This window comes from Homo sapiens, chromosome 7 (genome assembly GCF_000001405.40).
Source record: "Homo sapiens chromosome 7, GRCh38.p14 Primary Assembly".
Classification (NCBI taxonomy): Eukaryota; Metazoa; Chordata; class Mammalia; order Primates; family Hominidae; genus Homo; species Homo sapiens.
The window spans coordinates 38,977,262-38,994,870 of NC_000007.14; the positions used below are offsets into that span (position 1 = coordinate 38,977,262).

General features: G+C 35.4%; 1 protein-coding gene and 1 long non-coding RNA gene across 4 annotated transcripts in view; one reads left to right on the forward strand and one right to left on the reverse strand.

Moving 5' to 3' along the window:
* Window positions 648-17,609, forward strand: part of POU6F2 (POU class 6 homeobox 2) — a 490,693-nt gene continuing 473,731 nt past the window's right edge. For all 3 annotated transcript variants that reach the window (NM_007252.4, NM_001166018.2, NM_001370959.1), the window contains exon 1: window positions 648-797. Coding sequence is in view for 1 of the 3 variants with exons in the window: in NM_001370959.1 (NP_001357888.1) it covers window positions 693-797 (105 nt within the window). In the remaining 2 variants the exon portion in view is untranslated. The remainder of the gene's footprint in view (window positions 798-17,609) is intronic.
* The window catches only part of POU6F2-AS2 (POU6F2 antisense RNA 2), a 33,673-nt gene continuing 18,697 nt past the window's right edge, over window positions 2,634-17,609 (reverse strand). Inside the window, exons 4-7 of the long non-coding RNA NR_138047.1 lie at window positions 11,374-11,492; window positions 7,616-7,660; window positions 6,989-7,144; window positions 2,634-4,245 (exon numbers count right to left, since the gene is read on the reverse strand). This is a non-coding gene — a long non-coding RNA (POU6F2 antisense RNA 2). The remainder of the gene's footprint in view (window positions 4,246-6,988; window positions 7,145-7,615; window positions 7,661-11,373; window positions 11,493-17,609) is intronic.

A 17,609-nucleotide genomic window follows, 5' to 3' on the forward strand; every position in this document is an offset into this window, starting at 1 on the left:
GCTGCAAGTAAATCATCCCTTACCTTTCAGAAGATAAAAAGTTTAGTGACTGCTATTTACACACTTTGAATATTTTATATTACAGTGGTCATCATCATTTACACGGATTATTTTCTATGTCCACTTCCAATTCACAAATATCAGGGTGTTTGTTATGTAGCAGTTCACATTTCAAGCTTCTCTGAAAAGGTGTCCTTATATAAAACAACAGAGATAACTGCATATTATCAAAAGGTCATTTAGAGATTTTAAAAATAAAATCATTAGGGACCCCTTAAGAAAAGTAGAGCAATGAACTGTAATTTTAAAAATGTATATAATAGCACAAAAATCAAAGTCTTAATGGACACTCATTTGAGATAGTTCATTTTGTTTTTGTTTTGTTTTAAACATAGATTTCTAGAGCATTAAAAACAATCCTCATAGGTTTGTTAAACCTTTAGCGGAAGATTACAGCCCATGTTTTTGTCTTTGGTGAATAGCTGTTTGTCTCACTTTATTTACTTGGTATTGGATATTTGTCAATGTCATTTCATATCTACAGAAAATTCTTACGCTCTGTGGAGGTAGTGAATGTGTGTGTGCGTGTCTGCCGGAGGTCACATGACGGTTTCATTCTATTTGGTGGAGCAGCTTGACTTTTTTTCCCCTTGCTTTTGGTGATGGTTGTGAGTGCAGAAGTTGATTGACAGATGCATGCCAGAAACCCCCATTCTCCTTTTCAAAGACAACATATGATGGATTGCTATCTCTCAGCGCAGCAGGACACGGGGACCATGCAAGCTGTAATTGGTCAGGTATGGAGTCAGCCATTTCTCAACTCCCCTTTTTTCCACAAGGGTCTCACCATATGATTCACATAATTCATATTTACAGTACCATCTTTCTATCTGTATCTTCAGCTACCTGCCAGTGTAGTGCTGAAAGTGCGAAAGGCAAAAGGCACCCATTAAATCTGACCAGGGAAACCTCAGCTTAAAACTTCAATGCGATCCTTTTAAACAAAAACTAAAACAACAACAAAAACACTGGAGAATAAATCTAATTTATAATTTGGTCTGAATGTTTCTTAAAAATCTATTTTAGAAATTTGCTTTCTTTTTGGATTTTGATCTCTGAAAGAAAGTGCGAGAAGAGAATCAAGTGTGGTTTCCTAGGTAGTAGTTAATATTTTTCTAATGCTGTTCAATATTTTTATTTTGACTGTGCTCTCTCCTTCTCTCTTTCTCTCCCTCTCTCCCTTTCTCCATATGGGAAATATAAATATATAAATACATGTGCCTTGACTTCTAACCCAGATAATGTGTGATTGAGCCCGGTAAATGTAGTAGTAGTCTTGGCTGCTGCAGAAGGGCAGGCTGCAAATTAAACACTGTCACAATCTTGAAAGGTCCAGGTGGTCTGCTCGCGCTTCCTAATGCAATCCAGCACAGCAGCTTTAATAAACAGCTCCATTTAGTGCCTCCTCCTTGTATCTAGGGAGGTGAGCTGGTCTGGGGCTGCTGTGATGAAATGCCAGAAGAATATCTCTCAGAGGCCTCACAAGCTGATTTTTAGAGCTTTCCCGCTCTGTCGTCTTTGTCTTCCAAATGGGTCAGTGAATCTTGCTCTTTCTGTTTGGTGCTTTCCGTGAAGTCAGTAGTTTATGTTTGTGTTAAAATGTTTGCGTTGTAAGCTAAATCAGAAAACGAAAAGGATCATTGTATTTTCATTTGCCTTCAGATAACTAAAGTGGTGGAAGGAAGGATAGTACCCTCCTGCAAAGGGAGGGTGATTTTTCTGACTATGATGGGGGTGGGGTAAGGAAAAAGGAAATATACATGGTTTCTTTTCTTTTTTGTAATGTATTTTTGACTAAATTTTTCTAAGTTATCTATGTTTACTTATGGATTGTTAACTCATAAACCAGACTATGGTCACGAATATTTATAAACTCCTAAAAGTTTTTTTTTTTGTACACTTTCCAATCAAGACAAGCTGGCAAGGCAATGACATAAAATTTGTTTGCTTTATGTTAATAGCATGGTGGAAAATATATCATCTTATTCTGTTTTCAACAAAATTATAGAAAAGCACTTCAGGGTTCTGAAAGCACATGGTTTATTAATACCAGCATGCTTGCTTCATAATGTATTTTTAGATGGAAAATGTCAAATACATAATACCATGTTTTCACAGGCTCACACTATTTTAAAAGAAGTAGATATTTGCTTCGACAGAGAAATATTTTTTAAAACTTTCAAGTTAATTTTTGTTCTATAAGCATATATAAAGTGAAGTCTCTAGGCAGGAGAAAATATATAAACTGATTTTATATACTCTTAATACCTGTTTCAATGTAAGTACTCACTGACGAGCAAATATATCAAATATAGCTAAAATAATTGTGGTGTAGGGAATGAAATAAATATCTGTTACAATAGATGACTTTTGCATATTGAAATAAAACTTGAGCCCCTGATCACTGTCTTGTCCTGTTTAATAAAACTTTTCTTAGGTTGCAGGTCCTGTCTTCTGTATGGCATAGTTATGGTTCTTAATACCGTGCAGAATTACTGTACTTCAATCTCTAATAAGAATAGGATTTCCTTTTTCTATATATTTCTGGTGAAAAAATCAGGAAAGTCACTTGTAGTTTGTTATTCAGTATTGTTTATTGGAAATCAATTGTAAAGGCATATACTTTTTAAAGGCTCAGGTATATACTTAAAAAAATGAATCAGGACATATTTTTACAGATAGTAGGCTTAACTTCTAATTTGTCAGGATTTAAAATTAGTTATTATTACATAGCTCTGTATTTTGTATGTACTCTTTAGTATAATTGTTAAAGGTTCCACATGTCTAAGAACTCTACAGGTTAATGACTTCTTATGAATACATTGTAAATAGTTGCATCAAAGTAGTCACATGCTTTCTGAAGGTGTTATTTCTCATAATTTGTTAAAAACGCCTCAAAATGCCAAGTCAGTAAATTACAAAAGCAATTGTGCTGAAGGTTGTAAACATTTCTGTGCTAAAATGTACAAACTAGAATGCTGATTTTTTATTTGAAATTGAAACAGTAAGTATTTAAAAGGAAAGAAGAATAGAATATTGTCCTATATGTATACCATAAAAGTCAGAAAGTCTATATTGAAACCATATCTAGAAATATAAAAAAGAAAGGTGGTATACATATTTGAAGTGGATTCATTTCAATAGTTACAGCACAGATAAGTGTATTTACTCAAATGATTACTTCTAACAATAGGGAAAAGAATGTGAAAATAATTTTTATTGCTCTGCTGTCACTCAAAACCAGAAAGGGATGGTTTATTTTTTAGCTCTTGTCTTAAATATCGTCTTATATCTACTCAGCAGGTGTGAACAAGCCCATTTAATAATGCAAATGTTTGTGTTTGTTTCTGCTCAAATACGTTTTGGAATAATTATTATTTTTGTCTTTTTTTTTTCCTGTTCTGAGTGCTGTTCCTAGATGGCTTTGGGTTGGAGGAGCAAATAACCAGTTTTCAGTCAGAATATTGAAAGATTCCCATGAAGTATGAGCTTTAGGTTTTTTCATTCACTCCTAGGATGAAATATCCACAGTTGCTTCCACTGTAGGGAAGAGTAGACTTTTCTGTTTCTGGCCATGATCCAGCTCAGGACACAGCGCTGGCTTCACAGAGTAGAAATTGCTCATATATGCCTTTCCCCTAGGATTTCTCCTCCCCCAAGCAAGCAATTAAGCAGTCTAGTACTTGGAAGAACAAACTCCCTGCCTAGTATATCAAGATGAAGAAACTTGGTTCATTCACACAATTTTTGGAAATCAAATCAGATTTCTGATAGCAATTACCTGTAGTTAGCTTCCTAACCCCTTGAAGGTAGGATGGATTGTTATTCATGGGATGATTTTCAATTCAATTCAATTACACAGTTAATCAGTTTCTGATCGTTGGTTTGATTATCATTTAGAAATGAAGACTTGCATTTCCATCTCTTATGGCCATGTTTAGTGCTTCGTTTCTTTTTTTTGCAGACCTGAGCTTGTGAGTGACAGATTAGTTCATCAGTACTGCGGACCTCCTGTTTTTGTTTTTTCTCATCTCATACAGTCGGGTCACTGTGTCCAATACTCCTTCTGGCACTGCTGTCCCCAGAGGACTTAGGCAGCCCACCATCCTGATGCACAGGCCTGAGGGTCCCTGTTGGCTTCACGTCTATAGACTGACTTTTGCAAATATTGCAGAACAGAGGATATTAAATTAGTTGTTAATAAAAACAACAGATGAACCAAATTAGATGAAAATATTTATCAAGTATATCTAAGAGTTTGCTGGGAGTGAGAGAGAGACAGCTGGATAAAGTGATCATGGATGCACTTCCAGTTGACATTGCTAAAGTACTAGTAGAAGAGAGAAGAGACCACACATTCTATATTTTAATAGCATTAGAAGTGCAGTAAAAAGCTGTTTACAATTTCCCTTACTGGTACAATGGGTCTTTTATTTTTCAAAGTACATTTCGACCATGTGAAGTGTTGTAAAGTTGTACATCAGAAAACTAATGCAAATGTCTCAGACAGTGCTCAGTATGTGTGCATGCATTTGGCTTAACAGTATCTCCATGTATGTTTTCTTATATGGAGATTTTAAAACACACAAATATTTCACCGTTATAGCATCAAAACAATTAATTTTACATAGAGGTTTGTTTATACCATCCCTTGTTCCAAAAAGTATTTAATGTAGATTTAATAATAATTTGCTTACCTAAAATATGCTCAAATTGATGTGTGATGCAAGTGGTCTAGGGAGAGGGGACACTGGCTCTCATAACACATTTGAAGATTGCCCTCTGTCAATTTAGACTGATATTCGTGCCTTACATATAAAAATGAAACACTGGGGCTAACCTAACCCTGTTTTACTCATGTGAAGCATAATTCCCATATACTCTTAAAAAAAGTCATTTTTGTGGGTGTGAATGCCTGTATTTTTGAAACTGACAGATTGCTTCAACAAATTTATGTATTTTGGGAGTGTGAAATTATTACTGCTTTAATTTTATTGAGAATACTTTTTCCCCAAGGTATTATGGATGGATGGTATACTAGAAAAAATACAGATTAATTAAGGATTATTCTTTCTTATACATACTGGTGCTAGTATTCTTTTGGTAAGTTCCAGACTGACCAAAATTGAATTTGTACTATGTATTGTTTATTGACCTAAAAAACTTCACTTAATATTTCATTCATACTTATAGGAAAGTCTTATGTTAACATTTTACATTTCACCAGATGGACTTAATTTTTATTATGTTTAGAATTTTTAAAAATTAAAGCAGACATTTAAATGGTAAAGTCAATTTTGTCCATTTAAGTAAAATTTAACAATATAGTAATACTACTATCCAATAATGTTAATACTAAACAACAATTAGATGAACTTGGGTCTTGAAACTAAATTTTCTTTTCTATCTCTAAGGTCAATTAATGAAACTCTCTGTACCATTCAATTATCATTTTCAATGCTTAAGAACTTAAAACTTTTTTATTCTTACCTCTAACATATGCAGAGAGGTGGCTGCAACTTTTAGAATACAAATGCTTACAAAAGAAAGTTTGCATGTAATAAGTTTCCTGCGTGTAAAATCTATAATATTTGTTTCAGAGGTCAGTGAAGGATGTTTCTTCACTGACCTTTTCTTTGCTATGTAAACTGCATATTACCAGTTTCAAGTATTTTTCTCTTTATTGCTTACAAAAATTGGAATATAATTAACATGTCTGCAAATACTGAAAAACTTCACTTTTCAATTGCATTGTGATATTGTACAAGCTGTTACTCTTTTCTAATGCTTGATTGAGTAGAAAATAAAGTTGGGACATAAAGTGCAAACATGAAAGGATCAGACTTGAAGAAACAATGTGCAAAAAGATAAATATTGACTTTAATTTGAACGCTAAAAGAAAATCCAAATTACACAACTTCTAAATTAATTTGTAATTTATGGCCAAATCTTTACTTGGGAGATAATAGCTGCTCTATATATAATCTCAAACCTGGATTTATGTTCTTTTTCCCTTCCCTCCCTCCCTACATCCCTTTCTTCCTTTCTGCTTTTGTTCCTGCCTCCCTCCTTTCTTTTTTTTTTTTTGTAGGTGAAATGTGTATCCAATAAAGTAAATTACCAACTCAAGTTTGCTCTGTTAGCCTATGTAAATTGCTCTGTTGAGCCATATTGTCTTAAACTGATCCAAAATTGTAATCAAGATTTGTACCAGTTTTGCTTTTTACACATTTCTTCTGCATCTCAATTTGAAGAAGCGGTTGCGAGTGAAACACTATCACTACATTTCAGTAAAGATTTATTTTTCTTTTTATTATTTTCTTGTTCTTCCCAGTTCCACAATGTGAGCCAATTGTGGTGAATATTGCTTAATTTTTACTGGAAAAATTCCTTCCTGGTTTTCTGTATGCTTGTGTTATTTTTCCACACCCCACTTATAAATGATCATATTATTGTTATTTCAGGGATAGCACTTCTCATAAACGTAAAACCATTGTATGTAAGTAATAGCAAAATAATTGAAAACATCTTTGATTATTTACATTAAAGGAAATTCTCTAGGTTTTAAAACACTTGTTTTTCAGGTTGGCTGGTCTTCAGAAAATAGCTTTTTGTTTTATCAGTAGCTTTAAAACCCCCATGGTATGAAAGATTCTTTCTTCAAAAGACAGACATTAGCTGTTGATACTTGGCACTGATTCTAGGTGAAATGCAACCCTATTCCTTTCAACAGCACTTTTTTAATTATAAGACAAAAAAAATTGAAGATCAACTGAGTATTCTCACTTTCACCTATTTTCAGCCTTCCCCCGACCCAGGAGGTACATTTTTCCCATGGGAAAAAGTACCCACATAATTTCCAGCACTTCCCTAGTCCTAGGGTCAAAGATGCAAATAAACGTGTTGACACCTTTAATGAAAAGGATATAGTCGCTCAAAAGTATTGCTCTGACATTTTGTTCTCCTTCTTCACTGCCATTTCTCCATCAGCTTTTCTTCTCTTTTCCACTGTGAACCAGAGTCAGTTTGATGAGTAATAAGTGAAAAGCGAAATCTTTGTGGGCTTCCCAGGCAGGAAAGGGCACTGGAAAGAGAGACAAGACCTCGAGCAAAACAAAGCAAAAAGGCAGCAGAAAACTCACCAATATACTTGCTTCTTTAGTTTATATTTCTAAGTTATTTTGTAAGCTTACCTCATCTCACCTAGCAATTCAAATCACACACAAAAAATACAGTGAAATAATACGTTAGCACAGGAAAACTAGAATTAAAAAACAAAGTCTAAGAAAAGGCCTCACAGTGCTTGTGCTGTACACAAATTTCAATATTAAGGAAAACTTTTCTTTAAATCTTTAGAGTTTTTACAAGAGGTTAGCCAGTGCTCCGATGCTGTGAAATAGTACTTATTATTTCTGGAGTTTAATATGATGTTGACCCTGCATATTTTATGACTTTGATTTTTGATGAATAATTTAAAACTATTTTTAGAAGAAAATATTTATCTCTAACATCTAAAAACTTAGAGAAACAGGTATATTTTTAAAAGAATACATACCTGTTAAATGGTGTTTTTAGCATTGATCAGAACTCAGGCAAATTCCTGTTCAAAAGAACAAAGCACAACATTTATAGGGAGCTTAGTTTTCAGTGCAGAATTCATATACAGATTTTTTTAAAGGAAGTAGGTTTTTGTTGAGAGTAAAAGGTAAATATTGTACCAAGACAGAAGCAAGGATACCAGAAGCCGTAATTGATACTGAGGAAATATGAGAAAAGTAGATATTTCTTAATTCTTCAGTTCTTTTCCTCCAAATTGGAAGGGCAGAATGGGCAAGAATGGAGCTGGACACACAATAGTAGGGACTATGGCACGCCAAACTTGCTTCAGACACAGCTAGTTAATTTTGTAAGTCTTAAATAATACTAGAAAACAAGCCTCTTTCAACCTTTTCTCCAAAAGGTTGAGAGTTAGGACAAATGTAAAATGCTGCTTAATGGGCACAAATAAAACAAGAACATCAAACTCATTTCACTTAGTGTCAGTCCTGATGATTCATCATTATGGTCAGGGCGAACTCTGGTCTTTGGGCCGAAACAATTTTATCCATTAAAAAAAAATCCAGAATGTTCCAGCTTGAATCTTATATCCTTAGGGTTACAATATTGAATTCCGAATCGGGAAACTTAATCTTGCAGCCAGATTTGACAAGATGCTGGTTGAATGGTGGGCAGAAGTGATGATTGTGGGATGAAATGCCCTAGGTCAGAATTTGAGAAAAATAAGAGATTTTGTGAAAGTTTGGCTGTGATATAAGAATGCCAAGTTTGAAAATTTCTCTCTGTTCATATCAGCAGATGGTGTTCCAGGGTCTTAAAAGTAAATCTCTGCTGTATTCATTTTCTCTGTTTCAATATTTCTTGAACAAAGTGAGTCTTTACACATTCTTAGGTGCATTTCTTGGTGTATTTCTAGAACTGCTAATACAAGAGGTGTTTGTAGTAATATTCAGAAGGTTTCTGGGAACGAAGGCTAATATGGCTCAAATCCCAAACAGTCCTACATTGTTCCTAGGTAATATATTAATCCTCAATTCAAGAACTAAAGTTGTGATTTCTTTTCTGAAAACTTTTTTCATTTGTAAACAAACCTATATCTAGATTCCTAGTGACGAAAGAATTTAGAGTAAAAATGAAAATGAGGCAGTCTAGCAATCTAATTCATTAACACACACGCACACTCACAGACATACTTTAAACATTTTGGGAATACTTGACTATTTAACCTCTAATAATCTAAAAATATTTTGTCTCTGTTTTCAATCTTAGTACCTGAAAAAATTATGACAGATGTTTACTTAAAATACTCCTCTCAACTTGGTTGAGAATGGAAAAATACTTTGCAACTTTTTTGTTTTTGTTTTGAGATGAGGTCTTGCCATGTTGCTGAGGCTGGCTGTGAACTCCTGGGCTCAAGAGACGCTCCCACCTCAGCCTCCTGAGTAGTACTTTGCAGCTGTTAAACATCAAGTTTGTGGTAAGAATTCGAGTACATAGTCGATTGGAAAACTGCAAACGTATGAATATTGTGGTTATTTCCTTCCAAAAACAGGGGGGCTCTTTGGTTTGCAATGTACTGCCATTTGTACTAGTGCTGAAACCTATCAACTGCAATTGCTTTCTCCCTTTCTACCTTTATTTATCAAATAGAATTTAAACAGCTAGTTCAGGCAGAGAGTGGAACATCTGAGTAAAAGTGACAGTACATGAACGCAATTCTTATATGCACGTGATTGAAGTGAGTTAATTACATGGTAGACTCCTATGAGTATTTTTGAATTTTTTACTAAAAAATTATAACAGTAATTTCTGCATATGGCAAACCATTGCAATAGCACAGAATAATATAAAGTGGAAAGTAAAGTATCCTGATTCCACTCGCCACAAATAACCACTGTTAACTATTTCTTATATATCCTTCCAGAGATTTTCTGTGCATGTATATGCAATCCTTACACAACCCAAGTAGAACTATACTATACATAGAGTTCTGCAACTTACTTTTACATATAAAAAATATTTTGAACCTCTTCTCATGTGACTATGAATAGATCTGCATCCTTCTCTGTAGTACTCCCTTTTATGGATATACAGTGATTTATTTAACCAGTTCTCTCTTGATCTAGCTTTTAAAAATAAGTTAGTCTCTGCAATCAGTCTAACAAGTAGAGAAGTTTCATTTCTCTTAACATAAAAGATTTCAGAATTTTCCAAATAGGATTTGTTTGAGCAGAAGAACTCATAAATAGTGTCTCCTGAGAGAAGGTTAAGTGTAATGTTAAAAGTGAAGAGTAGCTTTATGCCACAAGAAAAGATACTTATCATCTATATATTGAATACTCAAACCAATTAAAATAGCAATAAAGATCACAATATTTTATTTAGTAACAAAGAGGTAAGAATGACAGAGAATGGCGTAAAGAGCTGGTTCTCAGTCAGACACACTGTGACTTGAAAACCTTTATGTTTGCTCCAAGCCACCAAACTCAACTGAACAAAATGCTTGTTATTTTCTTTCATGAGCCTCAATGCTGTTTATTAAGATAATTGACATAGATGTATGTTTCCAATGCATGATTCAGTTAGTGTATCTAGATTAGTGAAAAAGAGACCAGAAGAAATTCATGGTAATTAATGTCAGTTAAATTTCTGTTTTCTGTATTTCATATTGTCAGACCAATCCTTCAACCCTGATTCATAAGTTAAATAATGCAGTCACAAGCAGGGCTAAATAAAAACATGTAATGAGACTTAGCTCTTGAATTCTACTAATTTAGGGTTCTGAGAAGGTAGACAAAGTGTACATTATTGAAATATTCCAGAGAATGTAAAAAGTTATGTTTTACGTTTCTTTTAGGATATGTCTCTGCTCGTTCTCTTTAATTACGTCACCTCACATATACTAAGAAGACAGTAACGTAGGTGGTAATGAAATCTTATATTTGAATAAAAGATGGGAGTGTGAGCTGACCATGCCATCTTTCCCTACACAGACTTCCAGAATTGAGCCTATGGAACTGTCCATTGGGTAGGTGTGTTCTTTTTCCCTCTTGTTTCTTCCTTCCAGATGCTAAGACAAGTATGCTTCATCTGTAGATTTAAAGGTAGCTGGCTTCTTTGCCTGGAGCTTAAAACGGGCTTTTAAGAACAAATTGCAGAGTATGGCTTTAATATTAATGATCTTCTTTGAACCCCACAGCTTTAGAAGTAAGTACAGATCATCATCCCCATTTTATAGAAGTGGAAGCTGGCTCAGAGAGGTTATGTGTCTTATTTGTAGCCATATTGCTAAGGAGTGGAAGAAATGAGACTTGAACTCATGTCATTTTCTAAAGTTTCACTGTTTCCCTCTGCCTGCCTTTTAGAACCACCAGGGGAAACCTTTAAAAATCTACTGATGTGAAGGACTCATTCTCAGAAATTCTGGTTCTATTTATCTGGGTGGAGCTTGGGTATTAGTATTTTTAAAAAGCTTTACAGGTGATTCTAGTGCACTCTATACCCCTATGAAAATTGAACAATGTAACCCCTCCTGCCCCCCGCCAATCATAAATCAACAGCAGAAGAGGAATGGAGGGAATGTAGTCTGGTATTCATTTCATGTATCCCTGTGTGTCTGTGTGTGTTTCAGTGGGGCTGTTGTAAACTTTCTTGAATGTCTAATGTTTAATACTATTTTTCATCCAGAAAAGGGCTAAATATTTACCCATCCAAAAAACAACAGTAGTAATAATCTACCAATAAGTGAGCACTTACTAGGTGCCAGGCACTTTGCTGGTATAATTTAATCCTCACGCCAGGTCTGTAAGGTAGGTACTGTTGTTATTTCCATTTTAGCAAGTAGAAAGCTGAGGCTAAGGACGTGGCGCAAGGCCCTGCAAGACAGTAAGTGGCAAAGTTGGAATTGGTCCGGAGAATGCTGGAGACCAGGTATAAATCCTTAATCATATGCAAAATCACACAATTGAAACATGGCCGTAACATTACCTGTGGAAAGTGTCATCTCTTTATGAAAGCTGATTTCATTACAGCAACATCTCATTTACTCCCTCCCTGACTTCCTCCTTCCTTTCCTCTTTTTCCTCCTCCTACTGTTGCCATCAATAACTGTTGTACTTGGGCTCCAAATGGTGTCCTGGAAGATGATCCTTTTGTAAAATGTAAAATGGTAGACCCGTTGGGGAGTGGAAGGGTGGAGGAGCAAATCGGTGCTCTTTGATAGCTTTCGTCAAAGAGCTGCTCCTAACTTTGAGGCTAGGAGCCACACTAGCCTCAAATAGTTGATGTCCCAATCCTCCATGAGCTATGCCTTTAGATGTGTCCGACTTCAAATACAGTGTCCCAAGTTATTTTCACAAATAAGTTTGTAAGTGCCCCATGTCACAGTCAGATGCCTTTAGACTTATAAAGTAATCTGAGTACAGAGATGTATAAATTCTCTGAATAAATAAATTATTCTTTTGTTAAATAATAATTATTTAATTGTTTAATAATTAAAACTATTCTTTTATTAAAATTATCACCTTTAGTAAATAGGGCAGCCATAAAACAAATAAGATCAAAAGCTAAGATGGTTTCATAAGTGACATAATAGAATAGATATTTGGGATTATAAAATAGCATTTGAGAGAAATCACACCTTTTCATGATCAGTTTTAATAATTTTTGCAATTTGCTTCACTTTGTTTCTCAAAGCTGGAAGAAATTTTTTAGGGATAAATTATTTGAGTGACTTTAAGAAGTGATTTGGAAATATCTGTTAAAAGTATTCTTTAACTCTCATTTCTGCATATGAGAGTTTACCTATTAATGCATATAGAGGTTATACAAATAAAATATATCCTGAGAAGTAAGATATATATATATATAGAAAGAGAGACAGAGAGAGAGTAGTAGGATATTAGGCACTGTTCTGTGTGTGTTTGTGTGTGTGTGTGTGTGTGTGTGTTTGTGTGTGTGTGTGTGTGTGGAAAATTCCCATGCGTAATTTCAGGAAAGGCTTGAAAACAGGTTCATATCTTTAAAATGCTGATGGAGTCTGAACTATTTGAGATTCATAGCCTCAGGAACTCTTTTATCTTTTGATAAATTAACATTCTGTCAATCATCTATCATCTGTATATCTATCATCTTTTAACTGATTAAGATTCTTGCCTAAATTTGAAATCAAATTCCACTTATTTGCAAGATAAGTTTGTTTTCTCCATCCATTCTTCACAAAAACTCAACAAAATTCTGGCCAAATATATGTTGGCACTTCTAAATTCATTTTTATGAAATAATTGTATTGTATCATTAAGGATTATGGTGATATGAAGTCAGAGGATTCTACCAAAAAAAGTATATCTTAACTCAAATTTTGGAAAACTTAAAAAAAATCCTGTGGTATTTCTCATATTTTGAATTCAATAAAGGGCATCTTTTATCTGGCTGTTTTCAACTAACCTTTTTCCTGTCAAATGGCATTTTAAACATTGTGGCCCTGGAGATGGAGTGGGGCTGAAAAAGAGAACTTTCTTTCTACTTAGTAGTTTGAAATGTTCACAAAATGTTATCTTATTTACATTTATGTGTTATGAGTGTAAGGCCAAATAGAGTGTACTCCTAAATATCTCCTTTCGCTTTTACAAATGATTCAGCCATGCCAGACCTCATGGATATATGGTTAGAAAACAAAATGCTGATTTGGTGAAATAAATCAACATGATCTTCAACAAAGCACTTACTGCTTTGGAACATCAGAAGGGAACATAATGCTTGGTAGAGACAGCGTTGTTCTTTTTCTTTTTTTGTCTGGAGCCTGTAATATAATATATCTTATATCTTGTACCGCCACCTCTCCACACCTGCATCCCTCCTTTCAGTGATCACTCTGAATCACAGGGAGGGGACATGGTCATTGTTCAAACAGATAAGCTGAGCCTTGATACCATCTCCTGCAAGAGCCCAGCAATGCGGGAAATTGGGTTGAATCTTTTGAGAGGGAGTAAAAGAGAGACGTGTGCTAGAATCCAACACAGTAGACAAGGATACGAGTTGGAGATTTTGTGCATTAAGATCTTGGTAGGTTTTCTCGTCTATTCACATCTCCCTTCCTTCAATATTTCTTGGTGGTTTTCTTTCTTTCTAGTTGGACCAAATCTTTATAAGAAATAGAGATTTGAAGGAAATATTGAAGACAAGAGACTATGCTGCCCCCTGGTTATTTGCTTAAAGTCAGCACATTAACTTGATACCATAGCACAAATTATGGGCTCAAATTATTAATATGTTTATGAACAAATGAGCAGAAGAGTATGTCCCTAACTTAACCAATTATTATTTATGTTTAGGAACAATTACCATTATACAATAATAAAAAGATAAATACATGCCTCATGCACTCATTTTATTCTATTAGAGTTTCAAGGGACAATAAATAAGACCCTTTCTTTAATTTCTTAGTTTGTTTTCATTTAATACTTATAAATCTCATTGAAAACCGTGGCTTTAGACCTGCAACCAAATTGGTTTGCTAGCATCTTGTGCCCTGCATTTTGATCTTGGTACAGTCTACCAGTGGAAAGTTTGGGTCTGAGGAAGAGACCCATTTACCCAGGGTTTCTGCTTCCTACTGGGAGTGGGACAAAGAGGAAAAAGATCAAATTCACATATAGGACTAGAGGCCATGAATGTCATACTCTTGTCATGCACCAATGTAATACAGAATTGCTCCTCGCATGGGTGAAAAGTATGTTCACATGAAAACCTGAGCCCAGGGGAACAGAGTGCCTCCTCCCACCTTTCTTTATCTGGACAATTCCTTCCAGCCAATTTTTTTCAGGAAAGAGTGATATTGGTGTATTATTGAGGCCATTGCCAGACTGAAAATCCAAGCAAAGGGGCTTGAATAGAATAGAATTAACGGCTCTTTGTATTTTCAGTTTAGACTGGTGCAGAGATGTTTCTTTTCCTTTCACTTCTCTCTCTCTCTCTCTCTCCCTCTCTCTCACATCTCTATCTTTATCTGTCTTTAACTGTATAACATTTTCTCTTCTCTCTCCATACCCCCTCCTTCCCTTCTCTACAATGGAATTGGCCCATAATCATCTCAGAACAGGTGAAGAGTTGAAAGCATTGCTAGAGACCACACAGGTTGTTGTTTTCTCTTCACACTCAGCATCTTACTCCTTCCCCTTATCTCCTACTTCCCATACAACTCCTAAGTCTCTCTAGAGGTATGTCCTGGCCTGTAGCGGGAGCTCAGTGGGCACTATGGAATGACTGCTTCGTTACAACTATCACTCTCCTAATTTATACCTCAGTAGAATGCTCGTCTCAAGTGGTTTTGAAGCCTCAAGTTGCCTTTGCTCCATTTGTTCCCTCTCAACATTCCTTGTCTGGGAATTTGTTTTTTGCGCTCTGCTCCTAGCTTCATTTCAGAGTGTATAAATGAGGCTATCCTTGAAAACAGTCATTTTCTATTTTCATATGATGTCTAAAAGGAAAGGGCTTCTCAGCCATGGTTCCTTATTCATACTGCATAACACGTTTAATTTAAGCAGCCACCACCATGGTATCCAGCAGATGCTTATTTTTAGGAAGTCATAATGTTGAATCTTAAAACGTGAAGAGGGGACACGAGGTTCTTTGTAACAGATCTTAAAAGACAAAGGGGAGTGGAGAATGAGGACACAGAGTTTGTGTTTCAGGAGTTTACACTGACTAGATTTTAAGTTACATGGGGACCAGATAAACAAGGCATGACCAAAGGAGCATGACTGAAAAACAGCTTATAAAGTCAATATCATTGTCTTCAGGGATTTCATGAAAATATTCTTCTATTTTTTTGCGGCAAAAACAAATCTGAACTAACGCTTTGCCACCTTTAAAACATAGTCTCTGAAATATTACTCCGGGTGGAAATATTGTGTTACTATTCACTTTAGCAATGTTTTATGCAGTACAAGTGACTGTGAATAATTTTCATTTTTCTACAGTCTGGGAAATGGATTATTCAAATCAAGTTTTAAAACTTTTAATACAAAAGGCCACAGAAGAGTATGTTAATTGGCAGCTTCATGCGTACTTACAAATTGACAAAGTTAATGAATAATAAAATATAATGAATAAAGAGATTATTTTGGTAGTACTTGGAAACAGTGACTTGAGGTTAGGATCTACTCTAGTTGGTTCTTGAATAATATTTTCTCAAAATAATGTGTAAGTAAAGTTATGTTAATGGACTATTTTTTATTTCTGTGTATAAAGATAAGCAAATAGTAATATTTGATCACTTGACATTTAATTTTTTCTTGGTTTTTCAGCTCAGTTTTCAACATAGTAGTGAAGCTTATTTATACATATACATATATTCCTATATATATTCTTTTTAATGAAATAAGTATTGCTCTTCTGTATAAGAAATTAAGGAAAAAGGAATATAGGCAAAGGTAAAAAGAAAATAAGATTTTAGACTAGATCAGTAAAAAATGCAGTGTTGATTGGTTTCATTTATTTGAATGAGTGTCATGCATAACGGTTATAATTTTCAAGTTTTAAATTAGGATTGTGTAACATTATAAAGTATAAAATGGTATCTTAAAATGTCAGAAATAATGTCTGAGACTGAAATCGGGATTTCTCAGGGGTTGCAGGTTTAAGTTTATGATTCCAGAAATAACCTAAGGGAAAATCTGTCTAGCACTTGAACTGACACTGATCAACACTGATATTTGAATTGCAGGATTTTAAACACACACACACACACACACACACACACACACACACATCAGTGGTTCATATTTGTTTTTTTAATAGTATATGGAAACCTTTTTTTTTGGTCTTTTCACAAGAAGTCAAAACTTGTGAAATGTGTAAAGTACTCCAAGTTTAATGCATCAACGTAGCATTCCGTGGAAGAAGAACATGCCTGGTGTTCTGAGTGCGTATTTCGGAGCACTGGCCTCTTGCTGGTCCAAAGGAGTAACATGTTCTCAGGGGCTTGAGTTTCTCCCTTTGGAGGCAAAATTTAGCTCAGTCATTCCTTAGTACCTTTCACAGCTGTGGGTAATATTCATTTTCTTATCTCTCCTAGAAGTGATTTTTCCACTTGGTTGAACAAACCTTTTGTCCACCTAGAATTCAAAAAGTCTGAGGCTAATAAAAAGGCGAACCCGTCAATTTTGTTAGTGCCAACTCTTCTTTGTTATTCTCAATTTTCCTATATTCATTGAGCTTTGGATAAATATCATGTCATCTCTTTCTAAAAAACATGGGAACTCCAAGCTGCAAGAGTGCTACCTGATGTGCCTGAGTGAATAAACAACCTGGAAATTGGAAACAGACAGCAGAGTGGGATGGGATGGGTGTGAGGAGTCACTCAGTTGGTCAGGAAAGCCAGGCAGAGGTTTTGCAAAACAGTGTTGTGTCATGGTGGTATAATGACTGGTACTCGGTGGGTTTCAGAGGAGGTAAGAGGAATAGGAGGGAGGCGGGAGAAACAGGGAATTGATTCTGCAGGTCCCAGAGGAGGAAGGGAAGGATAATTCTGCATGGAAGAACTAGGAAAATCCATTTGCCAGGACAAAGGTGCAAATGAGGCTTTGGGCACAGAAAAAAAGTGTCTGCCAGTTTGTTGAACCCAGGGCATGGGGGCAGAGTAGGACTAGAGGCTGACATACATGAATGCTCCTCACCATGCCCGTGACAGGGTTGGTGAGCAGAGCTGGGGAGAGGGTTGAGTCTGGAGGTGCTAATCAGTGACACTCTGAATAAAGAAGAGTTGTGTGGTCAGAGAATCCAGCTGGCTCTGTTTTGTTTTCCCCACTTCCCAGTTTTCTTTACCACTACTCTTCCCCTCCCTGGTTCCCTGGTTCAGTCCCTCCTCACTTCAGAGCTCTACTTTGCTCTCCTCACTCCTTCAGTTCCCATTCCAATTCACAATGCCCTCAATTCCAGATAAAACCTAAAAACCTGCCATTTTGTATCTTGTCATTCTGCTCACCCACCCA